Genomic DNA, 13,718 nt, shown 5'->3' on the forward strand with positions numbered 1-13,718 from the left:
GTGTACGCTGCTCAGGGGATGGGTGTACCAAAATCCAGAAATCACCACTAAAGAACTTATCCATGTAACCAAAAACCACCTGTTGCCCCAAAACTATTGAAATAAAAATAAAAATTTTAAAAAAGAGGTAAGGGGATAAAGATATCTATAGTATAGATAGCTATACTAAAGACTTCAATATTACATAATGGTGGGACTCGTGCTGTGATTTAAAAAATTCCTTAATAAATTATATACTTAAAATGGTTAAAATGATAAAGTTTGTTTTATATATTTTACTACAATAAAAATGTATGTTATTTAAATACTACTCAATTTCCATATTCTAGTAGGTTAGCATTGATAACTACATTTTATGGTTAGCTCAAGTTTAACTTTTAGTTTGCTACTCTAGATCTTACATAAGAGCAATCCCATTTAATGTCTTATAGCCACTGAAAAAAATATATTCCACTTTCACTATATTTTACCTATTTTTATATAGCAGAATAAACCAAAGATCTTACCATCTGAAATACATCAGAGCCTTCATCAAAATCCACCATGGCAAAAAATATCCTGTTGGTGAATGCACTGGAGTATCGCCAGGAGTTTGCCAGGATCTGGAATTCTTCATCAGCTTGCCTGGATGCAATGAGATTCGTAAAGATAACATATAAAACAATTTTTGAAAGCAATCTCGTTTATCATCAGTAAAACAGGTCCAAGCAAGCAATAGCAGGTTTTCCAATGGGAGAAATAATAAAAAACACTGACAAGTAGGTCAGACTCTGCTGACAGGGTTAAGACAAATCTTGTTTTGGCATAAGAGAAGCCTTATCCCAAGTTAGGGATTTCATGAGAAGTAGTAATTACCTGACTCCGCTTCATACTTTGTGCCTGTTTCTTATCCCAAAACTCTTTCAACAATCATTGGAAATATATAGCTAATCGCCTCTACAATAACTTTCCATACCCTAAATTACTTCTAAGAGTTCAAAGACAAGACAGAAGTGTATTCCCTAAAGAAAGCAGAAATACAATATTAATTCATTTTTAAAAATCTAAAGTGCAAAAGCTACTTGGTAAATAACACAATCAGATAAATTATTAGGATGAAAGATAAGAAGAGTCTAGGAATTGAAATTAATTGAGGCCAGCTCATACCTGTAATCCCAGCACTTTGGGAGGCTGAGGTGGGTGGATCACCTGAGGTCAGGAGCTCAAGACAAGCCTGGCCAACATGGCAAAACCCTGTCTCTATTAAAAATACAAAAATTAGGCCAGGTGCAGTGGCTCATGCCTGTAATCCCAGCACGTTGGGAGGCTGAGGCAGGCGGATCACAAGGTCAGGAGTTCGAGACCAGCCTGGCCAATATGGTGAAACCCTATCTCTACCAAAAATACAAAAATTAACCGGGCATGGTGGCAGGCACCTGTAGTCTCAGCTACTCGGGAGGCTGAGGCAAGAGAATGGCTTGAATCCGGGAGGCGGAGATTGCAGTGAGCCGAGATCACACCACTGCACTCCAGCCTGGGCGACACAGCAAGACTCCATCTCAAAAAAAAATTATTGAAACCTCAAGTCATCTTTGAATTTTTCCATATCTCCCATATGCTTTCAGTTCTCATGATCTGTCAATTCTCATTTGCGATAAAAGTTTCACTCCATATCCTCCTATTTTTATTGCTATCATCTAAGGTCAGATTTTTGTTATCTAATAGTAGGATATTTAAAAATACTGACTCTGGTTTCTCCTCCTTCAATCCTTCTTTTTTTTTGAGACAGTCTCGCTCTGTGGCCCAGGCTGGAGTGCAGTGGCTCCATCTTGGCTCACTGCAACCTCTGCCTCCCAGTCTCAAGCAATTCTCCTGCCTCAGCCTCCTAAGTAGCTGGGATTACAGGTGCCCACCATCATGCCCAGCTAATTTTTGTATTTTTAGTAGAGACAGGGTTTCACCATGTTGGCCAGGCTGGTCTTGAAATCCTGTCCTCAGGTGATCCGCCTGCCTCAGCCTCCCAAAGTGCTGGGATTACAGGTGTGAGCCACCGTGCCCGGCCCTCCTCCAATCCTTACACTGCAATATACATCCATCTTCCTAAATTACTACTTTCCTGAAACACTTCTCAGAAATCACTGTTGCTTTCTTATTACCTTCAGAATACATTCTCTAATCTCTTTCACTAGTTATTGAAGGTTCTTTATCACATAGCTTCAAATAATACATCTAGTTTTTATCTAGTCTTACTACTAATCAATCTCAAACAGTAACCTTTAGTCCCAATATTTTATTTACTCCTATCCCTGTACCCTTGTGTACATCATGCTTCTAACCAGAATATCCTGCCTGTATCAACATCTTATCCATTTGTCTAGCCCTAGCACAAGTCTTATTTCCTCCATCAGGCCAATCCAAATCACTCCTATTAACCTTCTTTCCTGAAATTTTACAGTATTTATTATATGTACAGTTGATCTGGTACTTAATCACAAATTGCCTTATATTGCCATCTAAATTTTCATATGTGTAACTCATTTCCTTAACCAGATGATAAGGGTAGGTTATCTATTTTACAATTCTCATCCCAACAGCACCACAACTACAGTATAATTCATGTTGCTGTTGTTTAATTTTTATTTGTTGAATGAGTGTAGAAAAATTTGAGTTAATATTAAATTTGGTCTCATAGAAAATAAGATGCCAGTAAAAACTTAGGTTAGTAAGAATTCCATTAATTTGCATTTAATAGAGAATTATGAAGGAGTTTGTGTTTGTTCCCTGCTATTTTTGTATACTCTTGATTGCTACTGAGTGAACTGACGGAATTAGAAGTAATTCTAGATTTCAAGTTTATTCATAGTTATTACTTACGATTCCTTTTTCTTCTTTTATTTATTTTTAATTTATATTCAGCACATACTCCACAAAATAAGCACTATGGAACCAAATACCTTGACTATACCCTAGCTCCAGGGAGAAAATCGTTAAAGAAAAGTTATCAAGGCTTGGGGTGGCAGAACACACCATTCTGAAACAAGCTGTCTATTCCTTTGCATGGCTATCAGGCTGTCAGAATCTGGAGAACCTCCAAGTTTTTACTAAACTAATTCTTCATACAGTAGCTTTGTCATTTTATTTAAAGTTAATTACCAGATCAGATACACTGATCTAAAAATATAAATAAAAAGACACTAAAAAGCAAAAGCTATTTTATTTTTTAGTATCCACCATTTTGAATTGTTCATGGTGTTTTTATTTAACAGAATAGCAATCTTTGCTCCTAAGATCATTAAGAAACAATAAAATAAAATCAAGAAACCATTGTTTGATGAAAACTTAAGCAAGATTAGTCTCCATCTCCAAGGTTTACAATCACTATAAAACAACTGGGAAATTAGAAACATCGCTAAATCATGGATCTTTGGGATTAAAAAAATAATAATTAATATACCCATCACCTTACCTATTTATTATTTTTTGGTGGTGAGAATATTTAAAATGTTTTTAGCAATTTCAAAATCTACAATACATTAACTATGGTCACCATGCTGTGCAATAGATCACCAGAACTTACCCCCCTCATCTAACTAAAACTTTGTACACTTTCACCACATCCTCTCCTAAGACTCTGAAAACCACCATTCTACTCTGCTTCTAGGAGTTCAACTTTTTTAGATTTCACATGAGATCCCATGCATCTTTTTTTTTTGTTTGTTTTTGAGACAGGGTCTTGGTCTGTTGCTCAGGCTGGAGTGCAGTGGGATGATTATAGCCTTCTGCAGTTTCGACCTCCCAGGATCAAGTGATCCTCCCACCTCAGCCTCTGGAGTAGCTGGGACTACAGGCACATCACCACACCCAGCTAATTTTGTTTATTTTTATAGATACAAAGTTTCACTATGTTGCCCAGGCTGGTCTCCAATGCCTGGGCCCAAGTGATCCTCCCATCTCAGCCTCCCAAAGTGCTGAGATCACAGACATGAGCTACCACACCCAGCTGCATCTTTTTTTTAAAAAAAAAAAAACATTACCAGCTGGGTGTGGTGGCTCACGCCTGTAATCCCAGCACTTTGGGAGGCTTAAGTGGGTTGATCACGATGTCAAAAGATCGAGTCCATCCTGGCCAACATGGTGAAACTCCGTCTCTACTAAAAATACAAAAATTAGCTGGGCGTGGTGGTGTGCACTTGTAGTATCAGCTACTCGGGAGGCTGAGGCAGAAGAATCACTTGAACCCAGGAGGTGGAGGCTGCAGTGAGTCAAGATCACGCCACTGCACTCCAGCCTGGGTGACAGAGCGAGACTTTGTTTCAAAAAAAAAAAAAAAAGAAAATTACCAGTTTTCTTGAATTCCAAACTTGGATGAAGCCACCATTATTGCATTAGTAAACATCTTAAGCATTGGGTAGACCAGTTAAAATTGTGGAGCCTGTTTCTTCCAAAAATAGTAGGATATTTGCTTTACCTACCTTTTGGGATTTTGACAATACAAGAGTATGAAGCTGAAAGCACTTACAAATAATAAAAAAATACTACATCAATGCTACTGGCATACAGTTACATAAGTTGATACTGATTTTTTTTTTTTTTTGAGACAGTCTCGCTCTGTCGCCCAGGCTGGAGTGCAGTGGCGCAAGCTTGGCTCACTGCAACCTCTGCCTCCCGGGTTCAAATGATTATTCTGCCTCAGCCTCCCAAATATCTGGGACTGCAGGCATGCACCACAATGCCTAGCTAATTTTTGTATTTTTTTTTTTTTAGTAGAGATGGGGTTTCACCATGTTGGCTGGGCTGGTCTTGAACTCCTGACCTCAGATGATCCACCTGCCTCGACCTCCCAAAGTGCTGGGATTACAGGCATGAGCCCCCATGCCCCGCCAAGTTGATACTAATTTATAAGATGACTGTTTGATCTTTAAGTTACTTTTATGATGGCTACCACAATTATTTATCCATGCTTCCCCCACTGATACGGATAATCAAGAATTGACTATAAAAGAGCAGTAGTATTGCTACCATAGACATCCTGAGTAAGGTATACACATTATTTAAGTACCTACTGCACTAACTTGGCCCTTCTGGGATTGAGAAATGGTTAACGTTATATGAGTTATTTAATTTTAAAGCGTAGTTGGAGTTCATACTTGCAAACGACACACTGTCTATGCAGTTGGAGAGCAGTGAACATGACGATAACGGAGTAATTTCTCGGTGGGGCTTTCACAAGGCGACGGAACTTGTCTCCATTCATTCTTATTACAGGTCTTTTGTTAGTCCATTCCATCAGCTGACTAACCTTTTCAGATAACACCATCTAAAAAAGACAAAGTGAGCATGCTATTAATATACTCAACTTGGCATTTAAAGTTCTTTTAATGAGGCAGCTTACTTAAAACCAATACTAACAAGCAGAGGTATACAGAAAATGTGAGACCTAAAGCCAAAATTTGGTAGTTGGGCTGGATGATAATTATTCTTAAAATACATTATTTCATAATATTTTGTCAGACATTACACTTTTGATGTAATTAATTATGAATGAATGAATGAATGAATAAACGAATGAATGACACTGTCTCGCTCTGTCATCCAGACTGCAGTGCAGTGGCACAATGAGGGCTCACTGTAGCCTTGACCTCCTGGCCTCAAGGGATCCTCCCACCTCAGCCTCCCAAGTGCTTGGAATACACACGTGTTCCACCATGCTCAGCTGATTTTTGTATTTTTTGTAGAGATGGGGCTTCTCCATGTTGCCCAGGCAGGTCTTGAACTCCTGGGCTTAAGCAATCTGCCCGCCTCAGCTACCGACAGTGCTGGGATTACAGGCATGAGCCACCACACCTGGCCTTTATATATATATATATATATATATATATATATATTTTTTTTTTTTTTTTTTTTTTGTAGAGACGGGGGTTTTACTATGTTGCCCAGGCTAGTCTTGAACTCCTGGGCTCACATGATCCTCCCAACTCAGCCTCCCAAGTGTTGGCATTACAGTCATGAGCCATTGCACCCAGACAGAATTATTTATTATTTACTAATAAGATAAAAATAACAAAACCTTTCATTTGCCAAAAATTCCAAAGAATGTTGAGTTAAACCAATGGCCAGTTTTATATACAATTTTACTTCTCTCAAAAAACATACAGTGAAAATCTTGAAAATAAAGAGTAAAGTGGGAGGAATCACTCTATTCAATTTTAAGGTTTACTATGTAGCCACAATAATTAAGACAGTGTGGTACAGATGAAGGGATAGTATCACAGAACAACAGAACAAAAAAACAACCCAGAAGTAGACCCATACAAGTGTAGTCAAATGATTTTGCACAAAGGTGCAAAAACAACTCAGTGGAGGAAGAATAGCCTTTTCAACAAATGGTGCAGAAGCAATTGGTCATCCATAGCCAAAAATATGAACTTCACACCTTATATAAAAACTAACTCAGCCGGGCATGGTGACTCACGCCTGTAATCCCAGCACTTTGGAGGCTGAGGCGGGTGGATAACCTGAGGTTGGGAGTTCGAAACCAGCCTAACCAAGATGGAGAAACCCCGTCTGTACCAAAAATACAAAATTAGCCAGGGGTGGTGGCACATGCCTGTAATCCCAGCTACTTGGGAGACTGAGGCAGGAGAATCGCTTGAACCTGGGAGGCAGAAGTTGCAGTGAGCCGAGATCGTGCCATTGCACTCCAGCCTGGGCAACAGGAGTGGAACTCCATCTCAAAAAAAAAAAAAAAAAAAAAAAAGAAACTAATACAAAATAGATCATATACTTAACTGTAAAACTATAAAACTTTTATGAAAATAAATAGGAGAAAATATTCAGAAGCTAAGGGTAGGCAAAGGTTTCTTAGGCCTGACAACAAAAGCAGGATCCATAAAAAAAAAAAATTGATATACTGGACCTCATCAAAATTCAGCCGGATGTGGTGGCTCATGCCTCTACTCCCAGCACTTTGGGAGGCCAAGGTGGGCAGATCACTTGAGGCTAGGAGTTTGAGACCAGCCTGGCCAAAATGGCGAAACCCAGTCTCTACTAAAAATACAAAATTAGCTGAGTATGGTGGCACATGCCTAAAATCCCAGCTGCTCAGAAGGCTGAGGCATGAGAATTGCTTGAGACTGGGAGGCAGACATTGCAGTGAGCCAAGATCATACCACTGCACTCCAGCTTGGGTGACACAGCGAGACACTGTCTCAAAAAAAAAAATAAAATAAAATAAAAAATTTTACTCTCTGGGCCGGGTGCGGTGGCTCACACCTGTAATCCCAGCACTTTGGGAGGCCAAGGTGGGTGGATCACTTGAGGTAAGGAGTTCGAGAACAGCCTGGCCAACATGGTGAAACCCTGTCTCTAATAAAAATACAAAAATTAGCCAGGCATGGTGGTGGGTGCCTGTAATCCCAGCTACTCGGGAGGCTGAGGCAGGAGAATCGCTTGAACCTGGGAGGCGGAGGTTGCGGTGAGCCGAGATCACGCCACTGCGCTCCAACGTGGGCGACAGAGTGAGACTCTGTCTCAAAATAAAATAAAATAAAATAAAATAAAATAAAATAAAATAAAATAAAATAAAATAAAATATACTGACAATATCAAATGCTGGTGAGGATGTGGAGAAACTAGATCTCTCATACATCACTGGTGGGAATGTAGTATGGTGCAGCCACTTTGGAAAACAGTTTGGCAGTCTTAAAAGATCAAGCAACTGGGTGGGTGCAGTGGCTCACACCTGTAATCCCAGCAATTTGGGAGGCCGAGGCGGGTGGATCGCTTGAGGTCAGGAGTTCAAGACCAGCCTGGCTAGCATGTTGAAACCACATCTCTACTAAAAAAAAAAAATACAAAAATTAGCTGGGCATGGTGGCACATGCCTGTAATCCCAGGTACTCAGGAGGCTGAGGCATGACAATCGCTTGAACCCGGGAGACGGAGGTTGCAGTGAGCCAAGATCACATCATTGCACTCCAGTCTGGGCGACAAGAGCAAAACTCTGATGCAAAAAAAAAAAAAAAAAAAAAAAGAAAAAAAAATTTAGCCGGGCATGGTGGTGCACGCCTGTAATCCCAGGTACTTGGGAGGCTGAGGCAGGAGAAATACTTGAACTCAGGAGGTAGAGGTTGCAGTGAGCTGAGATCACGCCACTGCATTCCAGCCTGGGTGACAGAGTAAGACTCTGTCTCCAAAAAAAAAAAAGAAAAAAAGAAAAAAAAAAAAGCCAGGCGCAGTGGCTCATGCTGTAATCCCAGCACTTTAGGAGGCCGAGATGGGTAGATCACCTGAGGTCAGGAGTTTGAGATCAGCCTGGCCAACATGATAAAATCCCGTCTCTACTAAAAATACAAAAAAATTAGCTGGGTGTGTTGGCGGGTGCCTGTAATCCCAGCTACTCAGGAGGCTGAGGCAGGAGAATCTCTTGAATCTGGGAAGGCGGTGGCTGCAGTGAGCCGAGATCGTGCCACTGCACTCCAGCCTGGGCAACAAGAGTGAAACTCTATCTCAAAAAAAAAAAAAAGAAAAAAAAAAAGAAAAAAAAATCTGGCAACTAAAGATACATTTACCATACAACCCATCAACCACATTATTTGGCATTTGTCCTATAGAAATGAAAATTTATGTCTACACACAAAAAAGAGCTAGAGTTTGTTCCTTTTTGGCTAATCATCATGAGGCAGTGGAAGAGAAGCATGGTTAGTCGACAGGATTTAAGTTTGAAATTAAATGCCATCATATTTATCATTCCCCTCATCTTCACTCTCAATGTTTTCTTTTTCTTTTTTCTCTCGAGATGGAGTCTTGCTCTGTCACCCAGACTAGAGTGCAGTGGTGCGATCTCACCTCACTGCAACCTCCCCCTGCTGGGTTCATGCAATTCTCCTGCCTCAGCCTCCCAAGTAGCTGGGATTACAGGCACACGCCACCACGCCTGGCTAATTTTTGAATTCTTAGTAGAGACGGGGTTTCACCATGTTGGCCAGGCTGGTCTGGAACTCTTGACCTCATGATCTGCTCGCCTCGGCCTCCCAAAGTGCTGGGATTACAGGCGTGAATCACTGTGTCCAGCCCCACCCTCAATGTTTAATCCTTGCCATGAGTAGTAAGAAGGCAGGAAGGGATAACAAAGAAAACAAAAATCTCAATGTAGAGTTAATGCTAATTTATGATTTTGCTCATCTTTATAGAGATATGTATAGAAAAAGCTGGGAAATCATGCAGTGGTTCATCATTCAGAACCATTTGACCAGTTATATTTCCCGTTACCTATATTCTAGCACTTACCATTTTAAGACACTTTGACGTTTGATTCCTTTTCTAGACTATTAGCTACAAGAGAACAGAGACCCACAATTCTTTACCATACAGTAGGCACTCAGTAAATGTGTACTAAATTTATAATCAGTGAAATTTAACTGGGAATTGACTGACTTGCTTACATTAACATGTAAGAAAGAAATGATTAACTGCACACGTAAACACTTACATAGAAACAAAACTTTTTTTTTCACTTTAGAAAGTAACATGGATTCTAAAAATGCATGATTTGCCTTTTTTTTTTTTTTTTTTTTAGACAGAGTCTCACTCTGTCATGCCCAGGCTGAAGTGCGATGGCATGATCTGGGCTCACTGCAACCTCTGACTCCCAGGTTCAAGTGATTCTCGTGCCTCAGCCTCCAAAGTAGCTGGGATTACAGGAACGCACTACCACCCCCGGCTAATTTTTGTGTTTTTAGTAGGGACGGGGTTTGACCATGTTGGCCAGGCTGGTCTTGAACTCCTGGCCTCAAATGATCCACCCGCCTCAGCCTCCCAAAGTGCTGGGATTACAGGCATGAGCCACCATGCCCAGCCTGGTCTGCCTTTAAGCATACCTGAATTCATCTAATACTGACCACAATTTTATGTCACAAGTACATCTCTATGAATGATGGAAAAAAGCTGCATAAAAATTAGTTTTGTAGGCCAGGCGCGGTGGCTCACGCCTGTAATCTCAGCACTTTGGGAGGCCAAGGCGGGCAGATCACGAGGTCAGGAGTTCAAGACCAGCCTGGCCAACAGGGTGAAACCCCGTCTCTACTAAAAATACAAAAAATAAGCTGGGCGTGATGGCGGGTGCCTGTAATCCCAGCTACTCGGGAGGCTGAGGCAGGAGAATTGCTTGAACCCGGGAGGTGGAGTTGCAGTGAGCCGAGACCGCACCACTGCACTCCAGCCTGGGTGACAGAGCGACACTCAGTCTCAAAACAAAACAAAAAAAACATTAGTTTTGTAGCAAATACGAAAAAATTCTGGTAAGGGCCACAAAAAGAATATGCCACACACGAAAAACCGAACACACTCTAAACCCACAGAAAAAGATATACACTCTTGAAAGATTGGTTGTTAACAGGCCAGGTGCAGTGGCTCACGCCTGTAATCCCAACACTTTGGGAGGCTGAAGTGGGTGGATCACTTGAGGTCAGGACTTCGAGACCAGCCTGGCTAACATGGCAAAACCTCATCTCTACTAAAAATATAAAAGTTAGCTGGGCGTGGTGGCACATGTCTGTAGTCCCAGCTACCGGGGAGGCTGAGGCACTAGAATCGCTTGAACCCAGGAGGCCGAGGTTGCAGTGAGCCAAGATGGCACCACTGTACTCCAGCCTGGGCAACAAAGTGAGAATCTGTCTCAAAAAAAAAAAAAAAAAAAAAAAAGAAGGAAAGATTGGTTATAACAAATAATTAACAAGACTGCGGAACAATGAAACAAGTAGTTGGTAAAGGCTGTGGGAGAGAATGAACCAGGAGGAAGATAGAGAATATTTGATTTAAATTGAGACTGCACAGATCAAATTTATTGTTTTTCCAACAAAATGAATTGCTATTATTTGATACCGTTTTAATGATTCTCAGAGCACAGAAAATATGGGTTCACATTTTAAAATATGCAATCTATATTTTGAAGCAATCATTAATTTTTGCCATATTTTGTTTTTTTTATATATAGATATTTATTATACTTTAAGTTCTAGGGTACTTGTGCACAATGTGCAGGTTTGTTACATATGTATACATGTGCCATGTGGTGTGCTGCACCCATTAACTAGTCTTTTACATTAGGTATATCACCTAATGCTATCCCTCCCCCTCCCCCCACCCCACAACAGGCCCCGGTGTGTGATGTTCCCCTTCCTGGGTCCAGGTGTTCTCACTGTTCAATTCCCACCTATGAGTGAGAACATGCGGTGTTAGGTTTTTTGTCCTTGCGATAGTTTGCTGAGAATGATGGTTTCCAGCTTCATCCATGTCCCTACAAAGGACATGAACTCATCATTTTTTATGGCTGCATAGTATTCCATGGTGTATATGTGCCACATTTTCTTAATCCAGGCTATCATTGTTAGACATTTGGGTTGGTTCCAAGTCTTTGCTATTGTGAGTAGTGCCAAAATAAACATACGTGTGCATGTGTCTTTATAGCAGCATGATTTATATTCCTTTGGGTATATACCCAGTAATGGGATGGCTGGGTCAAATGGTATTTCTAGTTCTAGATCCCTGAGGAATTGCCACACTGTCTTCCACAATTTTAGACCAATATCTCTGATGAACATCAATGCAAAAATCCTCAATAAAATACTGGCAAACCAAATCCAGCAGCACATCAAAAAGCTTATCCACCATGATCAAGTGGGCTTCTTCCCTGGGATTCAAGGCTGCTTCAACATACGCAAATCAATAAATGTAATCCAGCATATAAACAGAACCAAAGACAAAAACCACATGATTATCTCAATAGATGCAGAAAAGGCCTTTGACAAAATTCAACAGCACTTCATGCTAAAAACTCTCAATAAATTAGGTATAGATGGGACGTATCTAAAAATAATAAGAGCTATTTATGACAAACCCACAGCCAATATCATATTGAATGTACAAAAACTGGAAGCATTCCCTTTGAAAACTGGCACAAGACAGGGATGCCCTCACTCACCACTCCTATTCAACATAGTGTTGGAAGTTCTGGCCAGGGCAATCAGGCAGGAGAAAGAAAGAAAGGGTATTCAATTAGGAAAAGAGGAAGTCAAATTGTCCCTGTTTGCAGATGACATGATTGTATATCTAATTTTGCCATATTTTCAAGTTAAATTTGACAGTTACCAGCAAATACAAATATGATTTGACTATTTTATTCAGGGTGACTACATATTCTGTATGGGGCTGAGAAAAACAAGTGTGAAGCAGTAACAGGTATTTACACAGTTTTACATCCTCCTATCTCTATTCAACCATATAGATATATAATCATGCCAACAAAAGAAATATAAGTGCTTTGAATTAGTTATCAATATGTGGAGTTTTCCTACACAAAAATTCTTGAATAAACGTTTTCAAGCAGGTCTACATAAAAAATTTATGGCCAGGCATGGTGGTTCAAGCCTGTAATCCCTGCACTTTGGGAGGCTGAGGAGTGAGGACTGCTTGAGCCCTGGAGTTCGAGACCAGCCTGGTCAACATAGTGGGACCCAGTTACTACAAAATATTATAAAATTGGTCGGATGTGGTGGCATGTGCCTGTAGTCCCAGATACTCAGGAGGCTGAGGCAGGAGGATCACTTGAGCCCAGGAGTTAGAGGCTGCAGTGAGCTACGATCACACATCACTGAACTCTAGCGGGGACAACAGAGCAATACCCTGTCTCTAATAAATATATATTTATATATATAATTTATATATATTTATATATATAAATTATATATTTGTTATTTATATATAATTTATATTATATTAATATAATAATATAATATAATTATAATATGTATTATATTAATATAATAACATAATTATATTATAATATATATTATTATTAATCCAGGCTATCATTGTTAGACATTTGGGTTGGTTCCAAGTCTTTGCTATTGTGAGTAGTGCCGCAGTAAACATACGTGTGCATGTGTCTTTATAGCAGCATGATTTATATTCCTTTGGGTGTATATCCAGTAATGGGATGGCTGGGTCATCCCATCTGCCGGCAGATCACGAGGTCAGGAGATCGAGACCATGTATAATAATTATTGTAATATATATTATAATATATGTTATTCCTCTTCCTGTTTATTAACAGACTAGAAAGACCAGACTTCTGGCTATTCTTTCTCGAAATAATTTATCAAGTAGAAGAAACTAGTTCAAAGGAATTATCTTTTTTCAGGCTCTTATAAAACAAAATCACTTCAAAAGGCTGCTTAATGCAGAGGCAATTAGATTACTTCCTGAATTCATTTTCTTTTTTTTTTTTTTTTTTTTTTGGTGACAGGGTCTCACTCTGTTGCCTAGGCTGGAGTGCAGTGGTGTGAACTTGGCTAACTGCAGCCTCAACCTCCCAGGCTCTAGTGATTCTCCCACCTCGGCTTCCTGAATAGCTGGGACTACAGATGTGCACCACCGTGCCCCACTAATTTTTGTAGAGACGGGGTTTTGCCATGTTGCCCAGGCTGGTCTCAAACTCCTGAGCTCAAATGATCCTTGCCCTCCCAAAGTGCTGGGATTACAGGCATGAACCACCTTGCCCCGACTGGGTTCATTTTCTTTAAAATGAATTGAAAACAGATCACAACAAATGAACTAGTTTTAAACTTTTACAGGCTGGGAGTGGTGGCTCATACCTGTCATCTCAGTGCTTTGGGAGGTCAAGTCGGATGGATCACTTGATGTCAGGAGTTTGAGAACAGCCTGGCCAACATCGTGAAACC

At 40.2% G+C, this 13,718-nt stretch overlaps 1 protein-coding gene across 2 annotated transcripts in view; it reads right to left on the minus strand.

Moving 5' to 3' along the window:
- Positions 1-13,718, minus strand: part of MAGT1 (magnesium transporter 1) — a 69,822-nt gene that overhangs the window by 44,555 nt on the left and 11,549 nt on the right. For both annotated transcript variants that reach the window (NM_001367916.1, NM_032121.5), the window contains exons 2-3: positions 5,127-5,296; positions 507-624 (exon numbers count right to left, since the gene is read on the minus strand). In NM_001367916.1, the coding sequence (NP_001354845.1) occupies positions 507-624; positions 5,127-5,296 (288 nt within the window). The remainder of the gene's footprint in view (positions 1-506; positions 625-5,126; positions 5,297-13,718) is intronic.

The sequence above is a fragment of the Homo sapiens genome, chromosome X (assembly GCF_000001405.40).
Source record: "Homo sapiens chromosome X, GRCh38.p14 Primary Assembly".
NCBI classification, from domain to species: domain Eukaryota; kingdom Metazoa; phylum Chordata; class Mammalia; order Primates; family Hominidae; genus Homo; species Homo sapiens.